At 45.1% G+C, this 24,824-nt stretch overlaps 1 protein-coding gene, 1 long non-coding RNA gene and 1 pseudogene across 14 annotated transcripts in view; 1 reads left to right on the plus strand and 2 right to left on the minus strand.

Moving 5' to 3' along the window:
- Positions 50 to 1,684, plus strand: LOC105373387 (uncharacterized). The gene is made up of 2 exons (XR_938543.3): positions 50 to 1,319; positions 1,406 to 1,684. It is a non-coding gene; the product is annotated as an uncharacterized LOC105373387 (long non-coding RNA).
- On the minus strand, positions 5,048 to 5,976 carry OR3B1P (olfactory receptor family 3 subfamily B member 1 pseudogene; annotated as a pseudogene).
- Positions 21,564 to 24,824, minus strand: part of GAB3 (GRB2 associated binding protein 3) — a 76,318-nt gene continuing 73,057 nt past the window's right edge. For 5 of the 13 annotated variants that reach the window (NR_104114.2, XM_047441834.1, NM_080612.4 and 2 more), the window contains one exon: positions 21,564 to 24,609. Coding sequence is in view for 11 of the 13 variants with exons in the window: in XM_047441834.1 (XP_047297790.1) it covers positions 24,493 to 24,609 (117 nt within the window). In the remaining 2 variants the exon portion in view is untranslated. The remainder of the gene's footprint in view (positions 24,610 to 24,824) is intronic. The other 8 variants (XM_047441835.1, XM_006724804.2, XM_011531106.2 and 5 more) reach the window with 6 other exon arrangements.

Genomic DNA, 24,824 nt, shown 5'->3' on the forward strand with positions numbered 1-24,824 from the left:
CCCCGGAGCACGTGACCGGTTCTCACCAACCCCGCCCCTCCCCAAGAGAGCCCGGGCCGGAAGGTGGCCGCAATGCCAGCTTGGACCCCTCACCCCTGAGCAGCCGGCTGTCCGCCGGACCCCTGTCCCGGGAGCCCTGCAGGGAGTCAGGCACTGCGGGGCCCAGCCTGTCCCATCCCCCGGGTCTCCCTCACATCGAGGAGCAAGACGGGCCTGGGAACACGGGGCCGGGACTGTGCGGCCATCGTCCCGGACCCTGTCTGCCCTGTCCGTCCTTGGGGGAGCGCCCAGGACAGACCCCGGGGGGCAGGCCTCTAACTGGGCTCAGCAGCCTCCGTCCCTGTCCTGGTCGCCCAGCTGGTGGGGTAGCTGGAACTGCATGTCTGGTGGGCGTGGCCTCGCGCCAGCCAAGGTCTCCCAGGCGCCAGGTCCAGCCAAGGTGGACGGGAGGGCCCAGCGGGACCCGGGGCCGGATCTCACTCCTGGGTTCAACGGGTTCTGTCCCTGTCCTAGTCGCCCCGCCTGGTGGGGGAGCTGGAGCTGCGTGTGGGGTGGGTTGCGGGTGGCCTCCCACCAGCCAGGGGCTCCCGGGCTCTAGGCCTGGCCCAGGTGGACAGGCGGGACCTGCTGGACCTGAGGCTGGGTCGGGCCTGGCTCCTGGGTTCGGCAGTATCAGTCCCTGCCCTGGTCGCTCTTGCCTGGTAGGGAGCTGGGAGGTGACCCTGTGTCTGCTGGGTGCTGGCTTACTTCTGTGTCTGGAAGGGGGTCAGATCCACAGGAAAGGTGCTGCGAGAGGCGGGCAGGGGTGGGGGTGGCATGGCCCTAGGAGCTGGGTGTCTGTCCCCACGCCCTGTTCACAAGTCTGTGGGGCGAGAGGCTGCAATACTCCATCCCGGGTGTCTGGGCTGCTCACCAGGCCGGCTCAGGCTTCCCACATCCTGTACCCTGGGTTGGGCATGAAACCGATCCAATCGTCCCATAGGCTGTTCTTTTTGATACACATAGAAACTGACCCTTCTGGTCTTCAAGCTTGAACCTTACAGTTGTTTTATCTGAATTCCTTCCTCAGGAAATGACCTTCGGGCCTCTCAAAATATCAAAGAACTGAAACTCACCAGATAACCACATCCAGACAATGAGATGCTGGACCCCCCAAATTCATCAGGATTGCTTTCTGGGCCCTCCCGAGTTCCTGTTTTCCTACACATTGGTGCATTTCTTCCTGGCTATATAAACCCCTAGTTTTAGTCAGGGGGATGGATTTGAGACTTAACTCCCATCTCCCCGGCTGCAGCACCCAATTAAAGCCGTCTTCCCTGGTAATGCTCTTCGTCTCAGTCAGTCATTGGCTTTCTGTGCGGCCAGCAGCAGGACGTAGACCAAACCCTTGGTATTTCGGTAACAGGCACACCCCCAGGAAGGGACCCCGGACACGGCTACCACCTCTAGGCTTAAAGCGAATGCACTTCCCGCATCTCCAGTCTTCCGTGTAGCAGCTTTAACCTATGTATGTCTGTGCCACATCCAGTCCTCAGACGGCTGAGTGACCCCAAGAAAGGCTTCCCCGACACCCAGACAGAGGCTGCAGGGCTGGGGCTGGGTGAGGGTGGCGGGCCTGCGGGGACATTCTACTGTGCTAAAAAGCCACTGCAGACATAGCAATAAAAACATGTCATTTTCCAAAGCAGGCTCCTGCTTCTGCCTCTGCTGCTCTAAGAAGGGGTCAGGGTGCAGGAGGCAGGGGGAACCTCCTCCAGCTGGAGCTGCTGCGGTGAGCAAGGCTCTGCTCTGGAGGCCTCTGAGGCTGGCACCCTTCTGGGGACTGGGAAGGGGGCAGGGAAGGCAGCAGCCCAGGGAAAGCCTCGTCCCCCTGGAGCCGAGGCAGTTGGGGAGAGCAGGACGAGAGTGAGCTGGAGAGCAGCCACACCGATGGGTAAGGGTGGGTGAAGGGATTCCACAGGTGTCTAGAAAACTGGAAAGAGCTCCTTAGCAGGTCCAGGCCCCAGGTGTAGGGGAGGACCAGATGTGGAGGATGAAGACGGTTGTCCAGAGGGATCTCCAGGCGTTGGCATTATTGGGTCCTACTGAGATGCTGTCAAGGAGAAAACACAGGCTGTGTGTGGCAGGGCGACAAATGAGTGCTGCTGCCAAGCTCTGTCCTGTTTTCTGTGCACGTCTCAGAGCCCCTCCAGTGACCGTCATCTCCGGCCTCCTCCTGCGCCTCTGTGTTCGTAGACATCTTCTCACATCTCAGATCCTGCTGAGCCTCTGGGCCCCCTGCACGTGCCTTCTGCCTCTCGGCTGCTGGGGTGGGGACCTCTGTGCCCTGTGCCAGCGCCTCTCCTGCAGCTCACAACACATCTGCTTTTTCTCCTGCGCCCTGCACAGGGTGGGCCTGGAAGCTCTGGGGAAGTTGTACCCTTGGACACAGCCCCCCACCGATGGGGCCAAGAGTCACTGGATAAAAGTCTTAGTCTCTCACCCTTTGAAGGACAACTCTGAGGTGCGGCTGACTGTGGAGCGAATGAAATGAAACGGATGCACGGGGATGGGTGTGGACAAAGGAATGCCGACTTCTCAGGCTGCCGATACATATCTCAGTAGAAGCACGGGGGAATGCTATATAGAGAAATATTTCTATAGTATCTGAAGTGTTTAGAATGTATTGACCTAATATATACACAATAAAAGTAAAAACATTGGAAGAAAATTTAGATGAACTTTATTTGATTGTTGGAATGGAAAAGACTTTTCTCTCTTTCTTTCTTTCTTTCTCTCCTTTTCTTTCTTTCTTTCTTTTCTTTCCTTTTTTTCATTATTATACCTTAAGTGCTGGGGTACATGTGCACAACGTGCAGGTTTGTTACATAGGTATACATGTGCCATGCTGGTTTGCTGCACCCATCAACTTGTTGACCTAGCAATCCCATTACTGGGTATATACCCAAAGGATTGTAAATCATTCTACTATAAAGACACATGCACATGTATGTTTATTGCAGCACTCTTCACAATAGCAAAGACTTGGAACCAACCCAAATGCCCATCAATGTTAGACTGGATTTTAAAACTGTGGCACATATACACCATGAAATATATGCAGCCATGAAAGAGAATGAGTTCATGTCGTTTGCAGAGACATGGATGAAGCTGGAAACCATCATTTTCAGCAAATTAACACAGGAACAGAAAACCAAACACCGCATGTTCTCACTCGTAAGTGGGAGTTGAACAATGTGGACACAGGGAGGGGAACATCACACACCGGGGCCTGTTGGGGGTGGGGGGCTGGGGGAGGGATAGCATTGGAAAAGACTTTTCTAAGCCTACTAGCAATGAGAATAATAATAACCAATAACATTTGTTGGGTGGTCACCATGTCCCAAGCCACTGTTGTAAGCACTAGACAAGAATTGGCTCATTTATCCAGAAATACACCACATTTTCATTGTCGTTATCCTTGGCGGTGAGATAACGGTTGGTTTTTTATTTTCTCTTCCGAACTTGCCCATATTTCCTCTTCTTTTGCAGTGAACATGTATTACATTTATAAGCAGAAAGCGATTAAGAAAGTTATTCATTACTTGCTGTTGAGGAAAATTTCTAATTAGCTCTGGAGTGAGCCAGTTTGCCAAAGTTTAAATTAGCCTGTTCAATTCATTGGAGGCCATATTTTTCCTCTGAAACTTGTTCTAATTGGCACCTTTTCTTGATGTAATGAGGCGGACGGTGCCGTGATGAAGTCTCTGAAGTCACCGAGCCTCGGGGCCCACGCTAGACACCACGGGGCAGATGTCGCCCGGCTCTCCTGGTCATCTCTGTGGCTTTCAGCCGCTTCCAAAAAACAATTGTTTCCAAATTCCACACACACAGTTCATCCTACCTTGAAAGTTATTCCTCCAGAGGGCTGTTGATAGTTTGCTTCATCAGCATTTTGTCACTATTACACACTGAGATTTTTTTTTTCTTCTGCACCTTGGAGGTACTCATGAAGAACACATGTGTGCTTAAACACAAAACCTACCGAGGCCCATAACAGCCCCTCCCCTCCAGAGGGCCGGTCCTGGTCCACACACGCTGGCAGACAGTCTTTGTGTTTCCGAATCAGAGAAGACTTGCTTGGAATGGATGAAATGTATTTGAAATCACATTAGGCATCATCTGGAATGGTGAAGCTTCAGAGGTGACAGGGCCAGGATGTCTATATTCAAAGAGGGCCATTGAATTAAAGTTAAGCAGGGATCTCTTTGCTTGAATTCCAGAGTTTCAAACCAGCACAGTCATGTGAGCTTGGATGGCCTGTAGGTACTTCCAACCCAACCTGCCCCCAGCTGACCTCACTGCCTGTCCCCCGACTCCCGGAATGGCTTCCCTCTGCTTCATTCTCTGTCTTGGCGACACGCGTTTCCATGGTCCCGCACTCTGTCATCTCACCTTCCGTCCAGTCAGTTTCCTTCAATGTGTCCTCTCCACCCTCCCTAGGCCAGGTCGGCATCATCTCTCACCTATATGATGAGAACAATCTCCCCCGGTCTACACAGATTCCCGGCCCCTTTCCTAGGAATTTGGCCTGAGTGGGGCGGTCTAAGTGGGGATGATGTAGGCTGGCCTCATATGGCCCAGGGGGAGGGCCCAGCCATACCTACCAGGGCTGATGAGCACGGCTTGTTTCGCCCTGTGGGGGTCATTGCAGGCTCTTGTGCGGGACTCGGGATGGGGGTCTGTTGGGAAGCCCCGGATGGCCTAGTGTCCTGGCCTTGAGCCTTTGGTCTTCTCTGAGCGCCCACCCGCCATCACTTGAGAACAGTGAAAGGCAGCTGTGTTGACCCTTTGAGCAGCATGTGGCCGTTCCTAGGTTTGGTGGTAGGGGTGAGTGACCCTTTCCTGTGAAGGAATGGCGAGTAACCATTGTATGACAGTGAATTGTCTTAGTGCCTAATAGCCCAGCCTACTTTGTGAGCTCCATAAAGGCAGGAAGCTTGTCTGGAGCTTTTCTGTATCCCCAGTGCCAAACCCCATAATGGGGAGACACGAGGTACTCTCTCATTCTTTCTTTCAAGAAATATTTCCTGGCCGGTGCGGTGGCTCATGCCTGTCATCCCAGCATGCTGGGGAAGATGGGGTTTAGCATGTGAGTGAGGACCACACATAGCACAGAGAGCACCCAGTCGCCCAAGCCAGAGTATGCAGAGTTGGGAAGGATGTAGCAGGGGACTGAAGTGACGTAGAAAAGACCGATCATAGTGAGATGGGCAACACAGGTAGAAAAGGCTTTTCTTCAGCCCTGGGTGGAATGAATCCTGAACAGCAGCCACAACGTGTCCATAGGAGACCACGACCAGGACGCAGTGTGCAAGAGCCACCAGAAAACTGAAGAACAGGGCAAGTTCATTGGTACGTGTGCTGAAGCAAGAGAGTCTGAGCAGTGACGGAGGTCGCAGAAGAAGTGGGTGATGAGGCAAGGCCTGCAGAACTTGGGTAGAGCTGTGAGGATGCTGTAGGTGAATGCGTTGGCCAAGGCCAGCAGGCAGGAGATGGAAGTGAGGCCCGTGTGGGTCAGTCGGCCCACGAGGACAAAGTAGTGCAATGGCTGGCAGATAGCTGCATAGAATCATAGGCCACGGCTGTGAGGAGGAAGGACTCCTAGGGTGCCAGGAAGTGGAGAAAGCATATCTGGATGAGACAAGCACAATAAAGTACGGGCCCTACCTGAGCCAGCAAATGCACCAGCACCTGAGTCACCATGTTGGAGATACAGGCGGCATCCATCAGCGAGTGGCCGCCCAAGAAGAAGTACATGGGAGTGTGGCGTCGGTAGTCCACTGTGAACATGTGGCTCCCAACCACAACCACTATGTAGATTAGCAGAAAGGTGGTGAACAGCAGGGGCCTCCAAGCCTTGCTGTCCCTCAGGCCTTTCAGAAGAAACTGGGACACTAGGGTCCCATTCCGCAGCTGCTTGGAACCACGCACAGAACCCTGCACCTGTAGTATGCAACTCAGAGTCAGATGAGGGTCTAGGTGTGGAGTCCCAACTTACAAGGGGGGGAGGGGATGAGGGATGGACTAATGACTAGGTAGGCAGGTTTCAGATTTAATGGAGGAAGACTTGTTGGTTCAATACAATGAGGAGCCTCAAATGGCCAGGCAAATCTTTCATCTCCTGTTGAACAGAACCTTTTTTGGGAGAAAGTGATGGGGATCAGCCTTTAGGGTATCCATAGATGGCTTTGCTGGCAAAACTGTGGCAGGTGGGAGGGCAGATACATATACAGAAAATGTCTCTATTCCTGGGACAAAAATCCTCCTGCTCCCTGAATGAGAGAATGGGTCCAATATAATCCACTTTCCACCAGGCAGCTGGCTGCTCCCCTTGAGGTGACAACCTAATAAGCGTTGCTTTACGTTGGGTACACGGCAGAAGTACCCAGATCAGCCTCGGTGTGGTGAAGACCATGTTGTGTCATCCTTCCCGTAGCTGTGTCTCCAGTCTCCCTGTTTGCAGAGTCAGCCCAAGCTGTGTGGAAGCCTGCGGCCACCAGCTCGTGCATACCTACCTATCTATGTGTCCAAAACTAGGTCTGTCAGCTCAAAGACATCAGGACAAAAGACACCAACCTGTCTTGTCTGTGAGGAAGGTGTTGGGGGAGGAAGAGGGTGCCTGGTGTCTGGAGTGGCTTGTGGCTTGAGGGAGCATCTCACCGAGCAAGGTCCCCACAGAGAGCCTACCCCTGGGGCTGACACCGTATCTACGTCCTGTTCTCCGACACTTTGCCCTCTGCAGGCAGCATTCTTCTCTTCTTAGGCCTGTTCAGGAGGAACCTGCAGCCAGAGAACCGGAGCCAAAACCACAGGGCCCTCTGCACCTAGGCCGGAGCATGAGTCGAGGGGTCAGACCAGGCTGGCTTCCCTTCAGTTGTAGCCAACTTAAGTCTTTGCTTTCATTCCCCAGATAATCTGACCCCGTGGAAAGTAATTCAACACTGCAGAAATGACTGAGATGGAGTGAAAGTTTACACATGCACACTCCCCCGACAACCAACAGAGTGACTACTGTTACCACACTGGGTAGGTGCTTCATAGCTAGAGTTCGTGTTCTACATATCACATAAGGCTATATCTTTGTAATTTCTTTCCTTCTACTAATGTTGTGCTTACTTTGTTCTTGTGATTCTAGTTTCTTGAAATGCAACATTAGGTCATTTATTTGAGATATTTCTTCTTTTTGGTGTACGCATTTATTGCTATAAACTTCCCTGTTAGAACTGGTTTTCCTGTATTCCATAGGTTTTGATATTTTTTTCCAATTTCCTTACTCCCAGGGAATGTTTAAATTTCCCTTTTAATTTCTTAATTGATCCATTGATTGTTCAGAAGCATATTTTTAAATTTAGATATTAATAAGGTTTGGCTCTCTGTCCCCAACCAAATCTCGATTCAAATTGTAATCCCCATAATCCCCATGTGTTAAGGGAGGGACTGAGTGAGAGGTGAATGGATCATTGGGGAAGTTTCTCCCATGCTGTTCTCCTCATAGTGAGTGAATTCTCACGAGACGTGATGGTTTTATAAGAATTTGGAAGTTCCTCCTTCACTCTCTCTTCTCTCTCCTGCTGCCTTACAAAGAGGTGCCTGCTTCTCCTTTGCCTTCCGCCATTATTGTAAGTTTCTTGTGGCTTCCCCAGCCACACAGAACTGTGAGTCAATCAAACCTCTTTTGTTTATGAATTACGCAGCCTTGGGTAGTATATTTATAGTAGTGTGGGAACAGACTAATATAGTAAACTGGTACTGCAGAGAATGGGGCACTACTATAAAGATACCTGAAAATGTGGAAGTAACTTTGGAACTGGGTATTGGGCAGAGGTTGGAACAGTTTGGAGCACTCAGAAGAAGACAGGAAGATGTGGGAAACCTTGGAACTTCCTAGAGACTTGTTGAATGGCTTTGACCAAAATGTTTTTTTTTTTTTGAGACGGAGTCTAGCTGTCGCCCAGGCTGGAGTGCAGTAGCGCGATCTCGGCTCACTGCAGGCTCTGGCCCCGGGGTTCACACCATTCTCCTGCCTCAGCCTCCCGAGTAGCTGGGACTACAGGCGCCTGCCACCTCACCTGGCTAATTTTTTGTATTTTTAGTAGAGACGGGGTTTCACTGTGTTAGCCAGGATGGTCTTCATCTCCTGACCTCATGATCCACCTGCCTTGGCCTCCCAAAGTGCTGGGATTACAGGCGTGAGCCACCGTGCCCGGCTGACCAAAATGTTGATAGTATTATGGACAATGAAGTACAGGCTGTGGTGGTCTCATATGGAGATGAGGAACTTCTTAGAAACTAGAGCGAAGGTCACTCTTGCTATGCTTTAGCAAAGAGACAGGAGGCATTTTACCCCTGACCCAGAGATCTGTGGAAGTTTGAACTTGAGAGAGATGATCTGAAACTGAAACTTACGTTTAAAAGGGAAGCAGAGCATAAAAGTTTCGAAAAGTTGCAGCTTGATGATGCGGTACAAAAGAAAAACCCATTTTCTTGGGAGAAATTCAAGTCAGCTGCAGAAATTAGCATAAGTAATGAGGAGGCTTTTTAAAAAATTTTTATTTTATTTTAAGTTCTGGGATACATGTGCAGGATGTGCAGGTTTGTTACATAGGTAAACGTGTGCCATGGTGGTTTGCTACACCTATCAACACATCACCTAGGTATTAAGCCCTGCCTACATTAGCTATTTATCCTGATGCTGGAGGAGCCAAATGTTAATCACCAAAACAATTGGGAAAATGTCTCCAGGGCATGTCGTAGATCTTGGCAGCAGCTCCCCCCCATCACAGACCCAGAAGCTTAGAAGGGAAAAATGGTTTCCTGGGTCGGGTCCAGGGCCTCTGCTGCTCTATGAAGTCTTGGGACTTGGTGTTCTGCATTCCAGCTGCACCAGCTGCAGCTGGGGCTACAAGGGGCCAAAGTATAGCTCAGGCAGTGGCTTCAGAGGGTGCAAGCCCCAAAACTTGGTGGCTTCCATGTGGTATGGGGCCTGTGAATTCACGAAAGTCAAGAAGTGAGGTTGGGGAATCTCCGCCTAGATTTCAGAGGATGCATGGAAACACCTGGACATCCAGGCAGAAGTCTGCTGTAGGGGCTAAGCCCTCATGGAGAACCTCTGCTAGGGCAGTGTAGAAGGGATATGTGGGGTTGGAGCACACATAGAGAGTCCCCATTCACTAGAATGGCATTCACCCATCCACCAGAAATGCTGGGTGATGGTTCACCAATTATTATGTTGCCTCTCCGAGAGTGATAATCTGACCATGCCAGGGGGACAGGCCATTTCCTGATGGTCCACACCTGTTAACATCAAAATGTTAATTGGATGCAGGCCCCAGGGAGAAGAAACTTTCTGGGCATGCATAGTAAGAGACAAAAATGGTGAAGTATGATCTTCCACTGGAGAAAGGAAGAAAGCCTCAGGTGGGCATGCATGTATAACTCCCTAGACACACTGGGCATGCTCACTTCCCAAGGGTAAGGAGGGCTCTATGCATGTGGGCAGCCCACCCTAAGGGAATAATCATGGGAAAGAGGTAAGCTTATAAATGTCCTAGGATCACAGTTAAACAGGGCATTTGACCTTCTCTCTTTAATTAAACCTTCATGTGCCCCCTTGGGTCTCTTCCAAGTGCACCTTGCTTTCCTGTTGTAAGGCATTTTAAAATAAACTTCCATTCCTGCTCTGGAACTTGCCTCGGTCTCTTTTACTGCTTTATGCCCTGCAGTCGAATTCTTTCTTCTGAGGAGGCAAGGGCTGAAGTTGCTACGGACCCATACAGATAGGCCAACAGTAACATGGGGTAACTCAAATTTCTGCCACTGCTAACAAGTTCTCACAAGATCTGATGGTTTTGTAAGGCAGTTTTCCCTGCTCTTACTCACTCTTTCTCACCTGCCACCATGTAAGATGTGCCTGCTTCCCCTTCCACCATTTCCTGAGGCCTCCCCAGCCATGCAGAACTGTGAGTCAGTTAAACCTCTTTTCCTTATAAATTACCCAGTCTTGGGCATGTCTTTCCAGCAGTGTGAGAACATACTAATACAGATATATGTGTGGATTATCCGAAGTCCCTCATTTTCTAGTTTTATACCATTTTGTGATCAGAAAAGATACTTGATATGATTTCAGTCTTCTTGAATTTGTTAAGACTTCTTTGGTGGCACAACATACTATATATCTCAGTGAATGTTCCATGTGCAGTTGAGAAGAGAGTGTATTCTGCAGCTACTGGATGGATTTTTCTGTATATATCTGTTAGGTCCATTTGCTCTAGAGTGTAGTATATGCTTGTTGTTTGCTTATTTATTTCTGTCTTGATGATTTGTCCATTACTGAAAGAGGGTTGTTAAAGTCCCCTAGTATTATTGTATTGCAGTCTGTCTCTTTTTCAGATTAATTAATATTTCTTTTATATATTTAGGTGCTCTAATATTGAGTGCACATATGTTTACAATTGTTATACCCTTTTGTTGAAATGACCACTTTATCATTACATAGTGATTTTCTTTGTCTCTTTCTAGAGGTTTTGACTTAATGTCTATTTTATCTCATGTAACTATAGCTATTCCTGCTCTCTTTGTGTTTTCATTTGCGTGGAATATCTTTTTTCATCCCTTCACTTTGACTCTATGTGTCTTTACAGGTGAAATGAGTCCCTTGTAGGTAGCAAATGTCTGCGTCTTAATTTTTAAATCCATTTAGCTAGTCTATGTCATTTGATTGGACAATATATCCCATTTACATTCAAGGTAATTATTGATAAGTAAGAACTTACTACTGCCATTTTGTTAATTGTTCTCTAGTTGCTTTGTCGATTCTCCCTTTTCTCCTCTCCTACTGATTTTCTTTGTGGTTAAGTGATCACTCTCGTAGTATGTTTTGGTTCGTTGTCTTTTATTTTTTGTTTATCTGTTATAGCTTTTTGCTTTGTGGTTACCATGAGGCTTAAAAGAAACATCTTAAAGTTATAACAGGTTATTTTAAGCTGGTAACAACTTAGATCACAAAAATAAAAACCTCTGCACATTTACTCCACTCCCTCCACACACATTTTTTTGAGACAGGAACTCACTGTTGACCTGGTTATAGTGAGGTGGCATGATCACAGCTCACTGTAGCCTCGACCAACAGGGCTCAAGTGATCCTCCTGCCTCAATCTCCCCAGAGGCTGGGATTACAAGCACAAGCCACCATGCCGAGGTAATTTTTTTTCTTTTTACTACAGACGAGGTATCCTCATGATGCCCAGTGCGGTCTTGAACTCTTGAGCTCAAGCAATCCTTCCACTTCAGCACAAAATTCTGGCATTACAGGTGGCAGCCACTGCATCTAGCCCACATTTTGAGTTTTTCATGTTACAATTTACAACTTTTCATATTGCATATTTTAAAATAAACCATTGTCGTTATTCTTTTTTAATTATTACACTTTAAGTTCTAGGGTACATGTGCACAACGTGCAGGTTTGTTACATAGGTATACATGTGCCATGTTGGTTTGCTGCACCCATTCACTAGTCATTTACCTCAGGTATTTCTCCTAATGCTATCCCTCCCCCAGCCCCCCAACCCACAACAGGCCCTGGTGTGTGATGTTCCCCATCCTGTGTCCAAGTGTTCTCATTGTTCAATTCCCACCTATGAGTGAGAACATGCGGTGTTTGGTTTTCTATCCTTGTGATAGTTTGCTGAGAATGATGGTTTCCAGCTTCATCCACGTCCCTGAAAAGGACAAGAACTCATCCGTTTTTATGGCTGCATAGTATTCCATGGTGTATATGTACCACATTTTCTTAATCCAGTCTATAATTGATGGACATTTGGGTTGGTTCCAAGTCCTTGCTATTGTGAATAGTGCCACAATAAACATATGTGTGCATGTGTCTTTATAGCAGGATGATTTATAATCCTTTGGGTATATACCCAGTAATGGGATCGCTGGGTCAAATGGTATTTCTAGTTCTAGATCCTTGAGGAATCGCCACAGTGTCTTCCACAATAGTTGAACTAATTTACACTCCCACCAACAGTGTAAAAGAGTTCCTATTTCTCCACATCCTCTCCAGCATCTGTTGTTTCCTGACACTGTAATGATCGCCATTCTAACTGACATGAGATAGTATCTCATTGTGGTTTTGATTTGCATTTCTCTGATGACCAGTGATGATGAGCATTTTTTCATGTGTCTGTTGGCTGCATAGATGTCTTCTTTTCAGATATGTCTGTTCATATCCTTTGCTTACTTTTTGATGGGGTTGTTTGTTGTAAATTTGTTTAAGTTCTTTGTAGATTTTGGATATTAGCCCTTTGTCAGATGGGTAGATTGCAAACATTTTCTCCCATTCTGTAGGTTGCCTGTTCACACTGATGGTTGTTTCTTTTGCTGTGCAGAAGCTCTTTAGTTTAATTAGATCCCATTTGTCAATTTTGGCTTTGGTTGCTATTGCTTTTGGTGTTTTAGTCATGAAGTCCTTGCCCATGCCTATGTCCTGAGTGGTACTGCCTAGGATTTCTTCTAGAGATTTTTTGGTTTTAGGTCTAACATTTAAGTCTTTAATCCATCTTGAGTTAATTTTTGTATAAGGTGTAAGGAAGGGATCCAATTTCAGCTTTCTACATATGGCTAGCCAGTTTTCCCAGCACCATTTATTAAATAGGGAATCCTTTCCCCATTTCTTCTTTTTGTCAGGTTTGTCAAAGATCAGATGGTTGTAGATGTGTGGCATTATTTCTGAGGGCTCTGTTCTGTTCCATTGGTCTATATCTCTGTTTTGGTACCAGTACCATGCTGTTTTGGTTACTGTAGCCTTGTAGTATAGTTTGAAGTCAGGTAGCATGATGCCTCCAGCTTTGTTCTTTTTGCTTATGATTGTCTTGGCAATGCAGGCTCTTTTTTGGTTCCATGTGAACTTTAAAGTAGTTTTTTCCAATTCTGTGAAGAAAGTCATTGGTAGCTTGATGGGGATGGCATTGAATCTATAAATTACCTTGGGCAGTATGGCCATTTTCACGATATTGATTCTTCCTATCCATAACCATGGAACATTCTTCCATTTGTTTGTGTCCTCTTTTATTTTGTTGAGCAGTGGTTTGTAGTTCTTGAAGAGGTCCTTCACATCCCTTGTAAGTTGTATTCCTAGGTATTTTATTCTCTTTGTAGCAATTGTGAATGGGGGTTCACTCATGATTTGGTTCTCCTTTTGTTTGCTATTGATGTATAGGAATGCTTGTGATTTTTGCACATTGATTTTGTATCCTGAGACTTTGCTGTAGTTGCTTATCAGCTTAAGGAGATTTTGGAATGAGATGATGGGGTTTTCTAAATATACAATCATGTCATCTGCAAAAAGGGACAATTTGACTTACTCTTTTCCTAATTGAATACCCTCTATTTCTTTCTCTTGCCTGACTGCCCTGGCCAGAACTTCCAACACTATGTTTAATAGGAGTGGTAAGAGAGGGCATCCTTGTCATGTGCCAGTTTTCAAAGGGAATGCTTCCAGTTTTTGCCCATTCAGTATGATATTGGCTGTGGGTTTGTCATAAATAGCTCTTATTATTTTGAGATATGTTCCATCAATACCTAGTTTATTGAGAGTTTTTATCATGAAGAGCTGTTGAATTTTGTTGAAGGCCTTTTCTTCATCTATTGAAATAATCATTGGTTTTTGTCATTGGTTCTGTTTATGTGATGGATTACGTTTATTGATTTGTGTATGTTGAACCAGCCTTGCATCCCAGGGATGAAGCCAACTTGATCATGGTGGATAAGCTTTTGGATGTGCTGCTGGATTCGGTTTGCCAGTATTTTATTGAGGATTTTCACATCGATGTTCATCAGGGATATTGGTCTAAAATTCTCTTTTTTTGTTGTGTCTCTGCCAGGCTTTGGTATCAGGATGATGCTGGCCTCATAAAATGAGTTAGGGAGGATTCCCTCTTTTTCTATTGATTGGAATAGTTTCAGAAGGAATGGTACTAGCTCCTTTTTGTACCTCTGGTAGAATTTGGCTGTGAATCCATCTGGTCCTGGACTCTTTTTGGTTGGTAGGCTATTAATTATTGCCTCATTTTCAGAGCCTGTTATTGGTCTATTTAGATATTCAACTTCTTCCTGGTTTAGTCTTGGGAGGGTGTGTGTGTCCATGATTTTCTAGTCTATTTGCATAGAGGTGTTTATAGTATCCTGTGATGGTAGTTTGTATTTCTGTGGGATTGGTGGTGATATCCCCTTTATCATTTTTTATCGTGTCTATTTGATTCTTTTCTTTTCTTTTCTTTTTGAGACAGAGTCTCACTCTGTCGCTCAGGCTGGAGTGCAGTGGCGCAATCTCGGCTCACTGCAAGCTCCGCCTCCTGGATTCACGCCATTCTCCTGCCTCAGCCTCCTGAGTTGCTGTGACTACAGGTGCCTGCTACCACACCCGGCTATTTTTTTTTTTTTGTATTTTTAGTAGAGACAGGGTTTCACCGTGTTAGCCAGGATGGTCTCGATCTCCTGATCTCGTGATCTGCCCGTCTCAGCCTCCCAAAGTGCTGAGATTACAGGCCTGAGCCACCACGCCTGGTCTATTTGATTCTTTTCCCTTTTCTTCTTTATTCGTCTTGCTAGAAGTCTATCAATTTTGTTGATCTTTTCAAAAATCCAGCTCCTGGATTCATTGATTTTTTGAAGGGTTTTTTGCGTCTCTATCTCCTTCACTTCTGCTCTGATCTTAGTTATTTATTGCCTTCTGCTAGCTTTTGAATGTGTTTTCTCTTGCTTCTCTAGTTCTTTTAATTTTGATGTTAGGGTGTTGATTTGAGATCTTTCCTGCTTTCCCCTGGGGGTATTTAGTGCTATAAATTTCCCTCTACACACTGTTTTAAATGTGTCCCAGAGATTCTGGTACATTGTGTCTTTCTTCTCATTGGTTTCAAAGAACATCTTTATTTCTGCCTTCATTTTGTTATTTACCCAGTAGTCATTCAGAAGCAGTTTGTTCAGTTTCCATTTAGTTTTGTGATTTTTAATGAGTTTCTCAATCCTGAGTTCTAGTTTGATTGCACTGTGGTCTGAGAGACAGTTTGTTATGATTTCTGTTCTTTTACATTTGCTGAGGAGTGCTTTACTTCCAATTATGTGGTCAATTTTAGAATAAGTGCGATGTGGTGCTGAGAAGAATGTATATTCTGTTGATTTGGAGTGGAGAGTTATGTAGATGTGTATTAGGTCCTCTTTGTGCAAAGCTGAGTTCAAGTCCTGGATATCCTTGTTAACCTTCTTTCTTATCTGTCTAATATTGACAGTGGGGTGTTAAAGTCTCCCATTATTATTGTGTGGGAGTCTAAGTCTCTTTGTAGGTCTCTAAGGACTTGTTTCATGAATCTGGGTGTTCCTGTATTGGGTGCATATATATTTAGGATAGTTAGCTCTTTTTGTTAAATTGATCTCTTTACCATTATCTAATGGCCTTCTTTGTCTCTTTTGATCTTTGTTGGTTTAAAGTATGTTTTATCAGAGACTAGGATTGCAACCCCTGCTTTTTTTTGCTTTCCATTTGCTTGGTAGAATTTCCTCCATCCCTTTATTTTGTGTCTATGTGTGTCTCTGCACGTGAGATGGGTTCCTGAATACAGCACACTGATGGGTCTTGACTCTTTATCCAATGTGCCAGTCTGTGTCTTTTAATTGGGTCATTTAGCCCATTTACATTTAAGGTTAATATTGTTATGTGTGAATTTGATCCTGTTATTATGATGTTAGCTGGTTATTTTGCCCGTTAATTGATTCAGTTTCTTCATAGCATCTATGGTCTTTACAATTTGGCATGTTTTTTGCTTGTCTGTAAAGGATTTTATTTCTCCACTTATGAAGCTTAGTTTGGCTGGATATGATATTCTGGGTTGAAAATTCTTTTCTTTAAGAATGTTGAATATTGGCCCCCTCTCTTCTGGCTTGTAAGGTTTCTGCTGAGAGATCTGCTGTTAGTCTGATGAGCTTCCTTTTGTGGGTAACCTGACCTTTCTCTCTGGCTGCCCTTAACATTTTTTCCTTCATTTCAACCTTGGTGAATCTGACAATTTGTGTCTTGGGCTTGCTTTTCTCGAAGAGTATCTTTGTGGTGTTCTCTGTATTTCCTGAATTTGAATGTTGGCCTGCCTTGCTAGGTTGGGGGGGACATTCTCCTGGATAATATCCTGAAGAGTGTTTTCCAACTTGGTTCCATTCTCCCTGTCACTTTCTGGTACACCAATCAAGCCTAGACTTGGTCTTTTCACATAGTCCCATATTATTTCTTGGAGGTTTTGTTCTTTTCTTTTTACTCTTTTTTCTCTAAACTTGTCTTCTTGCTTTATTTCATTAATTTGATCTTCAATCACTGATATCCTTTCTTCCACTTGATGGAATCATCTATTGAAACTTGTGCATGCATCACGAAGTTCTCGTGCCATGGTTTTCAGCTCCATCAGGTCATTTAAGGTCTTCTCTACACTGTTTATTCTAGTTAGTCATTCATCTAACCTTTCTTTCAAGGTTTTTAGCTTCCTTGCAATGGGTTAGAATATGCTCCTTTAGCTCAGAGAAGTTTGTTATTACTGACCTTCTGAAGCCTACTTCTGTCAACTCGTCAAAGTCATTCTCCATCCAGCTTTGTTCCATTGCTGGCGAGGAGCTGCAATCCTTTGGAGGAGAAGAGGCACTCTCGTTTTTAGAATTTTTAGCTTTTCTGCTCTGGTTTCTCCCCATCTTTGTGGTTTTATTTGCCTTTGGTCTTTGATGTTGGTGACCTACAGATGGGGTTTTGGTGTAGATGTTCTTTTTGTTGATGTTGATCCAATTCCTTTCTGTTTGTTAGTTTTCCTTCTAACAGTCAAGTCCCTCAGCTGCTGGTCTATTGGAGTTTGCTGGAGGTCCACTCCATACCCTGTTTGCCTGGGTATCACCAGCGGAGGCTGCAGAACAGCAAATATTGCTGCCTGGTCCTTCCTCTGGAAGCTTTGTCTCAGAGGGGCACCCATCTGTATGAGGTGTCTGTCAGTCCCTACTGGGAGGTGTCTCCCAGTTAGGCTACACAGGGTTCAGGGACCCACTTGAGGAGGTAGTCTGTCAGTTCTCAGAGCTCAAATGCTGTGCTGGGAGAACCACTGCTCTCTTCAGAGCTGTCAGACAGGGACGTTTTAAGTCTGCAGAAGTTTCTGCTGCCTTTTGTTCAGCTATGCCCTGCCCACAGAGGTGGAGTCTACAGAGGCAGTAGGACTTGCTGAGCTGTGGTGGGCTCCGCCCAGTTCGAACTTCCTGGCCGCTTTGTTTACCTACTCAAGCCTCAGCAATGGCGGATGCCCCTCCCCCCACCAGGTTGCTGCCTCGCAGGTTGATCTCAGACTGCTGCGCTAGCAGTGAGCAAGGCTCTGTGGGCATGGGACCCACCAAGCCAGGCATGGGAGAGAATCTCCTGGTCTGCTGGTTGCTAAGACCATGGGGAAAGTGCAGTATTTGGGCAGTAGTGTCCCGTTTTTCCAGGTCCAGTCTGTCATGGCTTCCCTTGTCTGGGAAAGGGAAATCCCCTGGCCCATTGCACTTCCCGGGTAAGGTGATGCCCTGCCCTGCTTTGGCTCACCCTCCGTGGACTGCACCCACTGTCCAACCAGTCCCAATGAGATGAATGAGGTGCCTCAGTTGGAAATTCTGAAATCACCCTTCTTCTGCATCGATCACACTGGGAGCTGCAGACCGGAGCTCTTCCTGTTAGGCCATCTTGGAATGGAGCCCCATTGTCATTATTCTTAATAGTTTTGTCTTTTAACCTTCATGCTAAAGATGTAAGCAAAGTATACACCATCATTACTGTAATATTGTAAATTGAACTGTGTACTCACTTTTATCAGTGAGTTTTATAAGTTCAGATGTTATATTCATTAGCATCCTTTTCTTTCAGCTTGAAGAACTCCCGTTAGCATTTCCTATAAGATAGGTCTATTGATTATGAATCGTCTCTGCTTTTGTTTTTCTGAGAAAGTCTCTATTGTCTTGATTTTCTGGGTATAGTGTTCTTAGTAGGTAGTTCTTTTCTTCCTTCAGCACTTTGAATATACTATCTCACTCCCTCTTGGCCCATAAGGTTTCTACTGAAAAGTCAGTTACCAGACATATTGGAACTCCCTTATGTGTTATTTGCTTCCTTCCTCTTGTTGCTTTCAGAATTCTCTTTTTGTTTTTGTTATTTGGCAATTTAATTCTAATATGTCATGGGGTAGTCTTATTTGATTCAATCTGAGTGGTGTCCTTTGACCTTCCAGTACCTGAATATTTATATTTTTCTCCCGTTTTGGAAATTTTCTGCTATTATTTCTTTAAATAAGCTTTCTACCTAGTTGTTTTTCTCAGTCCTGCTTGAACTCTGATGACCCAAACACTTGCCCTTTTGATGCTATCTCATAAATCCCTTAAGCTTTTTTCATTCCTTTTTATGATCCTTTTTTTTGCTCCTTTGATTGGATAATTTCAAATGTCCTGTCATTGAGCTCCCTTCTTCTTCTTTCTTCTTCTTCTTCTTCTTCTTCTTCTTCTTCTTCTTCTTCTTCTTCTTCTTCTTCTTCTTCTTCTTCTTCTTCTTCTTCTTCCTCCCCTTCTTCTTCTTCTTCTTCTTCTTCTTCTTCTTCTTCTTCTTCTTCTTCTTCTTCTTCTTCTTCTTCTTTCTTCTTCTTCTTCTTCATCTTCTTCTTCTTGGTCTATTCTGATGTTGAGGCATTCTATTGATGTTTTAGGGTTCAATTGTTGTATTCTACAATTTTTTTTGAGACAGAGTATCTCTCTATCAACCAGGCTGCAGTGCAGTAGTGGAATCTTGGTCACTGCAACCTCCTAGGCTCAAGCAATTCTCCCACCTCAGCCTCCCAAGTAGCTGGGACCACAGTCTTGAGACACCACACCAGCCTATTTTTTGCAATTTTTGTAGAGACAGGGTTTCACCATGTAGCTCAGGCTGATTTCAAACTGTTGAGCTCAATTGATCCACCTGTTTTGGCATCTCAAAGTGCTGGGATTACAGACGTGAGCCACCAAGCTCCACAAGTGATTGTATTCTTCATCTTTAGGATTTCTATTTGATTTGTTGTTGTTGTTGTTGATGATTGTTTCCATTTCTTTGTCAAATTTCTCATTTTGTTCATGAATTGTTTTTTATTTTATTTGATTATCTATTTGTATTTTTATAGTTCTCTGAACTTCTTTAAGAGGGTTATTCTGAATTATTTGTCAGTTATTTCATAGATCTCCTTCTCTAATGGGTCCATTACTGAAGCTTTATTAGTTTCTTCTCGTGTGTTGTATTTTTCAGATTTTTTCATAATCTTTGTGTTTTTACATTGATGCCTGTGCATTTGAGGACCTAGCCACGTCTTTCATTCTTTGCAGGTATTCTTTGGTGATAATAGACCTTTACTATTTAGTCTAACCTGAGATTCTGAATGAGCCAGCTGGTTGCAACCATATACAAGCAGTCTTTGGTGTCATGTTCTTGAGTTGCTTCCTGCGCTCTGAGGTTGAATGGTAGTGCTGCCTCTGCACCATGGTCCAATGAGACCACTGGCTGGAGTCCACTGTCAGGTGGGGCTGCTGGCTGGGCTCTGCAATCAACTCTGATTAGGCAGGGTTGCAGTTGTCTTCCCAGGCCATGTGGTACTATTGTTTGGAATCTGTATTATATTTCCTAAAGTGTGATGCCGTTGGCTAGTTTCTCCAGCATGGTGCCTCCATTGGCTAGAATGCAGAGTAACCACCAAAATCTGTTCCCTTGTCACTGTAAGCTCCACCCCAATCCTCCATCTCCAACTTACCCCAGGTGTCCAGCCCTGCTGGCACTCCCAATGTTCCCTGAAGTATGTGACAAGACTGAGCCTCCTGAAAGGGGTTCAGAATGGTGGGGAAGACAAATGTCAGCCTCCAACTCACTGCTCCCACAGTAGAAACTATGAGCTCAGAAAAATTCTGTGTGCGGTACTGTGCCAGCCTGGAGGAAGGGCAGCAAGGTTAGAAAGAATTGTTCCTCTTACCATCTGATTGTGGGCTTTCTAGATTCTGTAGTTCAAAGGGGTGTCTCACATTCACTTCTGAGTTCTGTGGTGCTCACAATGGTGGTCTTGCCTTTTGATAGTTACTGGTTGGATTTCTGTTTGGGAGAGTAAAGCTGGAGAACTCCTATTCTTCTACATGGCTGAGATCATTCCTATATTTAGACTATAATTTATTCTTATTTCTTGTTTTCTTTTCATTTTTTTAAAGACAGGGGCTTATTCTAATACCCAGGCTAGAGTGCAGTGGCATGATCATAGCTCACTGCATTCTCAAACTCCTGGGCTCAAGTTATCCTCCTGCCTCATCCTCCCAAGTAGCTAGGATTACAGGTGTGTGCCACCATGCCAGGCTAATTTGTTGTATTTTTATTTTTGTAGAGACAGGGTCTCACTATGTTTCCCAGGCTGGTCTCAAACTCCTGGCCTGAAGCAATTCTTCCACCTCAGCCTCCCAAAGCACTGGGATTACAGGCATGAGCTACTGTGCACAGTCTAGTTTGCTTTTCTATATCTGATTTTCTAAAATATTGTTCTATCAGTTACTAAAAAAGGAGTGTGAAAATATTCACCTCTGTGGGTTTATGTATTCCTTTTTTTCTATGAGTTTAACTTCATGTATTTTGAAGCTCTGTTATATTCAGTGCACACATATTTATTGTGTCTTCTTCATGAATTGAACCCTTTATCATTAATAAATGTCCTCCATCCCATTTTATTCTGTGTATTCCATGGGTGATGAGAAAGGCATCCTGATGTGGCTGGTGGGGACCCGGTTAAGGAGTCTCTCAGTTGGCCTTATGGGCCAACCTGCTGTTTTGTGGGTCAGAGATTTGGTCTAGAGTGTGTGTGTAGGGAAAAAGTGTTCTTGATTGGCCTCATACTTCACCAGGGGTGAGGGATTTAATGTGGCTTTTTGTCCTTTCTCTAGGTCCCAGGATCCCCCAGGCCTGTTCTCTCTATGCCTTTGGCCTGTTTCCCCCAAACCTGAGCCCGCCCCCTCCCTACTTTCTTTGTCCTTTCCTTGTTTCACGGCCTCGAGATGCCACTGACCCAGCACCCAGGGCATCTGGGAGACTCAGCTATGGAGAAAAGGGAGGTGGTGGCAAAAGAGATGCCTGCTGGGGCAGGCAGGCGTAGGGCAGTTACCTTCTCATGCAAGTAATCACGAAGGTCATGTTATACATGGTGTCAGGGAGAGCAGTTGATTTTAGTGTCAATTATCAAAGCGAGTTTCCAACGAAGAAATTAAGAAAATGACAAGATATGGTTTGGCTGAGCCGAAGCAGTACTGATTACAGACACCTGCTCAAATGTTTGCAGTGAAATAACATGCACGTGAATCAGGTTAAGTTTGTTGTACTTCAACGTAAAAGTGGTTATGAAGTCCATTTTCAAATATTCCGCTTTCAAAACATGTTCCTTATTTATATTGGATGTCATCAGTTAAATAAAAAAGAACTTAAGTCACGATTTCTCCTTATAAGACTTTTATTAATGCCAGAAATGAAACAGCAAAAACAAAATGAATTTGAAAAATCAGTGTGATTGTGGGTGCAGAGATGGTATGAACAGGGACTGAGGAAAAAGCCAGGTCTGAGGAGAGCCTTCAGTTTCAACTCGGAACTTTTAAAGGTCATGATTCAGCTGATCCTGTGAAGTGGACTGTACAGTGGGTAGGTCGCTTCGTGTCTTTATAGCCAGGCTGTGTGCTGGACATCAAGGCTCTTCCCTCCCCAAGGAAAGCTTAACTCCCAGTGCTCCTGGGTTTGTCACCTTCTGGACTTGCAGGCTTGAGACCCTTGGGTCCCCCGTCCTGCACTGGACGACCCCTGACTGGGAGGAATTTTCTAACGAGGTGAGACAGAAGAAAATGAAACAAAAAGGAACTACAGAAAACGATGTGGGGTTAATTGCTGCATTGCCCTGTTATGCTGATTCCCACATCTTGTAGGTCTCTGGGATCATTTCTGTAACAAACATTAGGCCCTTGGTTAGAAACATAGCTCTCTCTCACACACACACATCGATCATCTCCACCAAAACCAATATTTTGACTTATGGTGCCTTTGCTGCTGTCAGCTCAAAAACTACCTGTACTTTGTTTCCTTGAATCGTTATGCTTTTGCATAGCCATCCTCTAGCAGTTTTATCAAAGCAGGACATAATTGCCTACACTCTGGAAATGAGGGGTGAGTCACCTTTTTCAAAATTAAATTTTTAAAATTCTGACCCCTATCGCCTTCCATACCTTTAATGTAGAGAGTGCCTATTCAGAGCATTCCATTTTTAAGTAATCACATCCAAACAGGTCACACTACCCATGTGTGTTTCTTCATGCTATAAATACGTTTCTGGAAATGTTTGGTAGAAACAGATTTCTTTTCTTTTTTCGGTGGGTCAATGGAGTGACATTTCACTACTGACATAATTTCAGCTATTCTTTTCTATCTCCAATCTGGTGTGGTTCTTGACACTTGGGCCTACAATTTTTTTTCTGCACCAGCCTTTGTCAGATAATCAGTGATCCTAACACAAGTGCTCCACACGAGGGAACTACCCTCCATGGGAACTAGCAGTTTGAAGCCCTGGTTTCTTGCCTGAGACTCTTTGCAAGTCACATGGGGAAGAAGGCAGCTCCTCACAGGCTCTGGCTGTGTGTGGTGATGCAGAGCTGGCTGTGGGGCTTAGGGAGTGGGGAGCCCTCTCCTTGCTCTGTCCAGGCTCACTAAGGACCCTGAACTCAGTTAAAATACTTAGAAATTTCCCCCCACTTTGTCCAAGGAAGAAAATAATGTCACCAGAACCTGCTTCTTTGAAAATCAAAACGGCTTCTTTGAAAATCAAAATGACTTCTTGTATGGTCTGAAAAAAGAAGACTTTGGCATTCACTTACCTGTGGGGTGATTGGAAACCCTGAAATCCTGTAGCAAAGTCTACAACTGCCCCAACTGCACTGACTATCATGGGCCTGACTGCCAATTTGATCTATCCTCATAAAGAAGACACAATCTCAGTCAGAATGCAGGACCAGTATCTGCTTAGTTTCCAGCTGTAGGTGCTCAGAAGGATCAAGAATGGACACTAAATAACACTTCATGCCCAACTGACACCTTCATTCTGGGTCTCCTGGACCCCAGGACCTGTAAAGGAAGGGGTGACATGACGCCTTCATTATAAAGTGGGAGTGTTTGTACTCTCAGTACCTAGTCACTTCTAAAGCAGAAGGGAGCAATTGGCTGGGAAACCTAAGAATGGAATTCATAGGTTTTTTCCTGGTCATTGTGTCTGCTAGCTCACAGGGAAACACACTGTATAGGTGACCATGAGAATGGCCTTCAGACTAACCATCAGTAGGTATTTCTAATTGTAACTACTGATGGGAGAGTTCCAGTTGAACATCGCAGAAAGAAACCCTCACTTGACATGCACATCTTTCAAGTATCAAAACACCTGTTCAGATCCCTATTGAAAGGGAGACAGGATGACTACTCATTTTGTGTCTGCAGGTGTTTCCCACATGTCTCCAAGGCTCACCCAATTAATCCATTTTGTCAAAATCCTCAGAGGAAGTATGAGGTAGAGGAATGAGCTTGCAATTGGCAGCCTGAACAACTCTATTCTCTAAGCTGGACTCTGGGTCTTGGCTTTGTGAGTAATCTTGGGCAAAGTGTTCCCTCCTCTAGTTCTCAGTGTTCTTTTCTTCAAAGTGGCATCAACAGTCTCTTCCAGGCCTATCTTCCAAGGTCTTTCGGAGAAGACACGAGACGATGCGTGGGAAAAGGCCAAGAGCAGCAGAATACCTGGCTACAGGTAGCTGCTTAATTGCAATATCCTTAGAGCCACCAGTGTCATCTGATATACTTATCTCAGAGCCTGAGATCCATTGCCCCTGTCACTTGTCTTTCTTTGGGTATTGAAATGACTAGTCTGCTGAAGTCTGTGGAGTAAGATTCTGCCACCATTGCTGGGCTTGATCTCCTCAACTGTCTTCAGAGGCTGGAACAAGATGGTCTCCAGAGGCCCCTTTGCTAGGATAATTTATCATTCTCATTGAAGCACAGGAGAGAAGTCAGAATTTCAGGTATTGGAGTCAAACGATAAAATCCTGTTGGTGGCAACACTCACTCCAATCTTTGCTCCAATAGGACAGAGGGGAGGCTAGATTCTCTCAGAGCCCCCTCCGGAAGGCAACTGCTTCCTTCTTTTCTTCCTTCAATGTATAAACAGGTCTTCTTTCCTAAAGGTTCTGGCCAAGACCTTGAAAACTACACATTCTCTCTTGGTTTTGACCTGTGTTGACCATCAGTGTGTTTTTAGTGGACAAAAAAAAAAAAAAAAGAAAAAACTCAAACTGAGCCCCAAGCTTCCCTGTTTCACACATGGCACAAGCCCGCACCTCTCATACTTTGGATTGCCTTTCATCCGTCCACTCCTGTTTTGTGCTCTGGAGAGCCTGTGTCTTCTGCTCATCCACTTGGACATAGTCTACTCTTTGTTCTTCTGAAAGGAGAAGTTTCTGAAGGAGGAGAACAAAAAGGTTTTCATTACATCTAACTTAAAATGTCAGGAAAATGTTTACCCTTTTGTATTAAATTGTTAAATATTTGTTGCCCTTTCCTCTGTGTGGAAACTTTGTACTTTGTATGTGTGCTTGTGTGTGTGCACGCACGTGCTTCTGCTTCCCTCAACTTTGCTCTAGCCACTTGACTTGCTTTGATCAATATAATGTAA

This window comes from Homo sapiens, chromosome X, assembly GCF_000001405.40.
Source record: "Homo sapiens chromosome X, GRCh38.p14 Primary Assembly".
NCBI classification, from domain to species: Eukaryota; Metazoa; Chordata; class Mammalia; order Primates; family Hominidae; genus Homo; species Homo sapiens.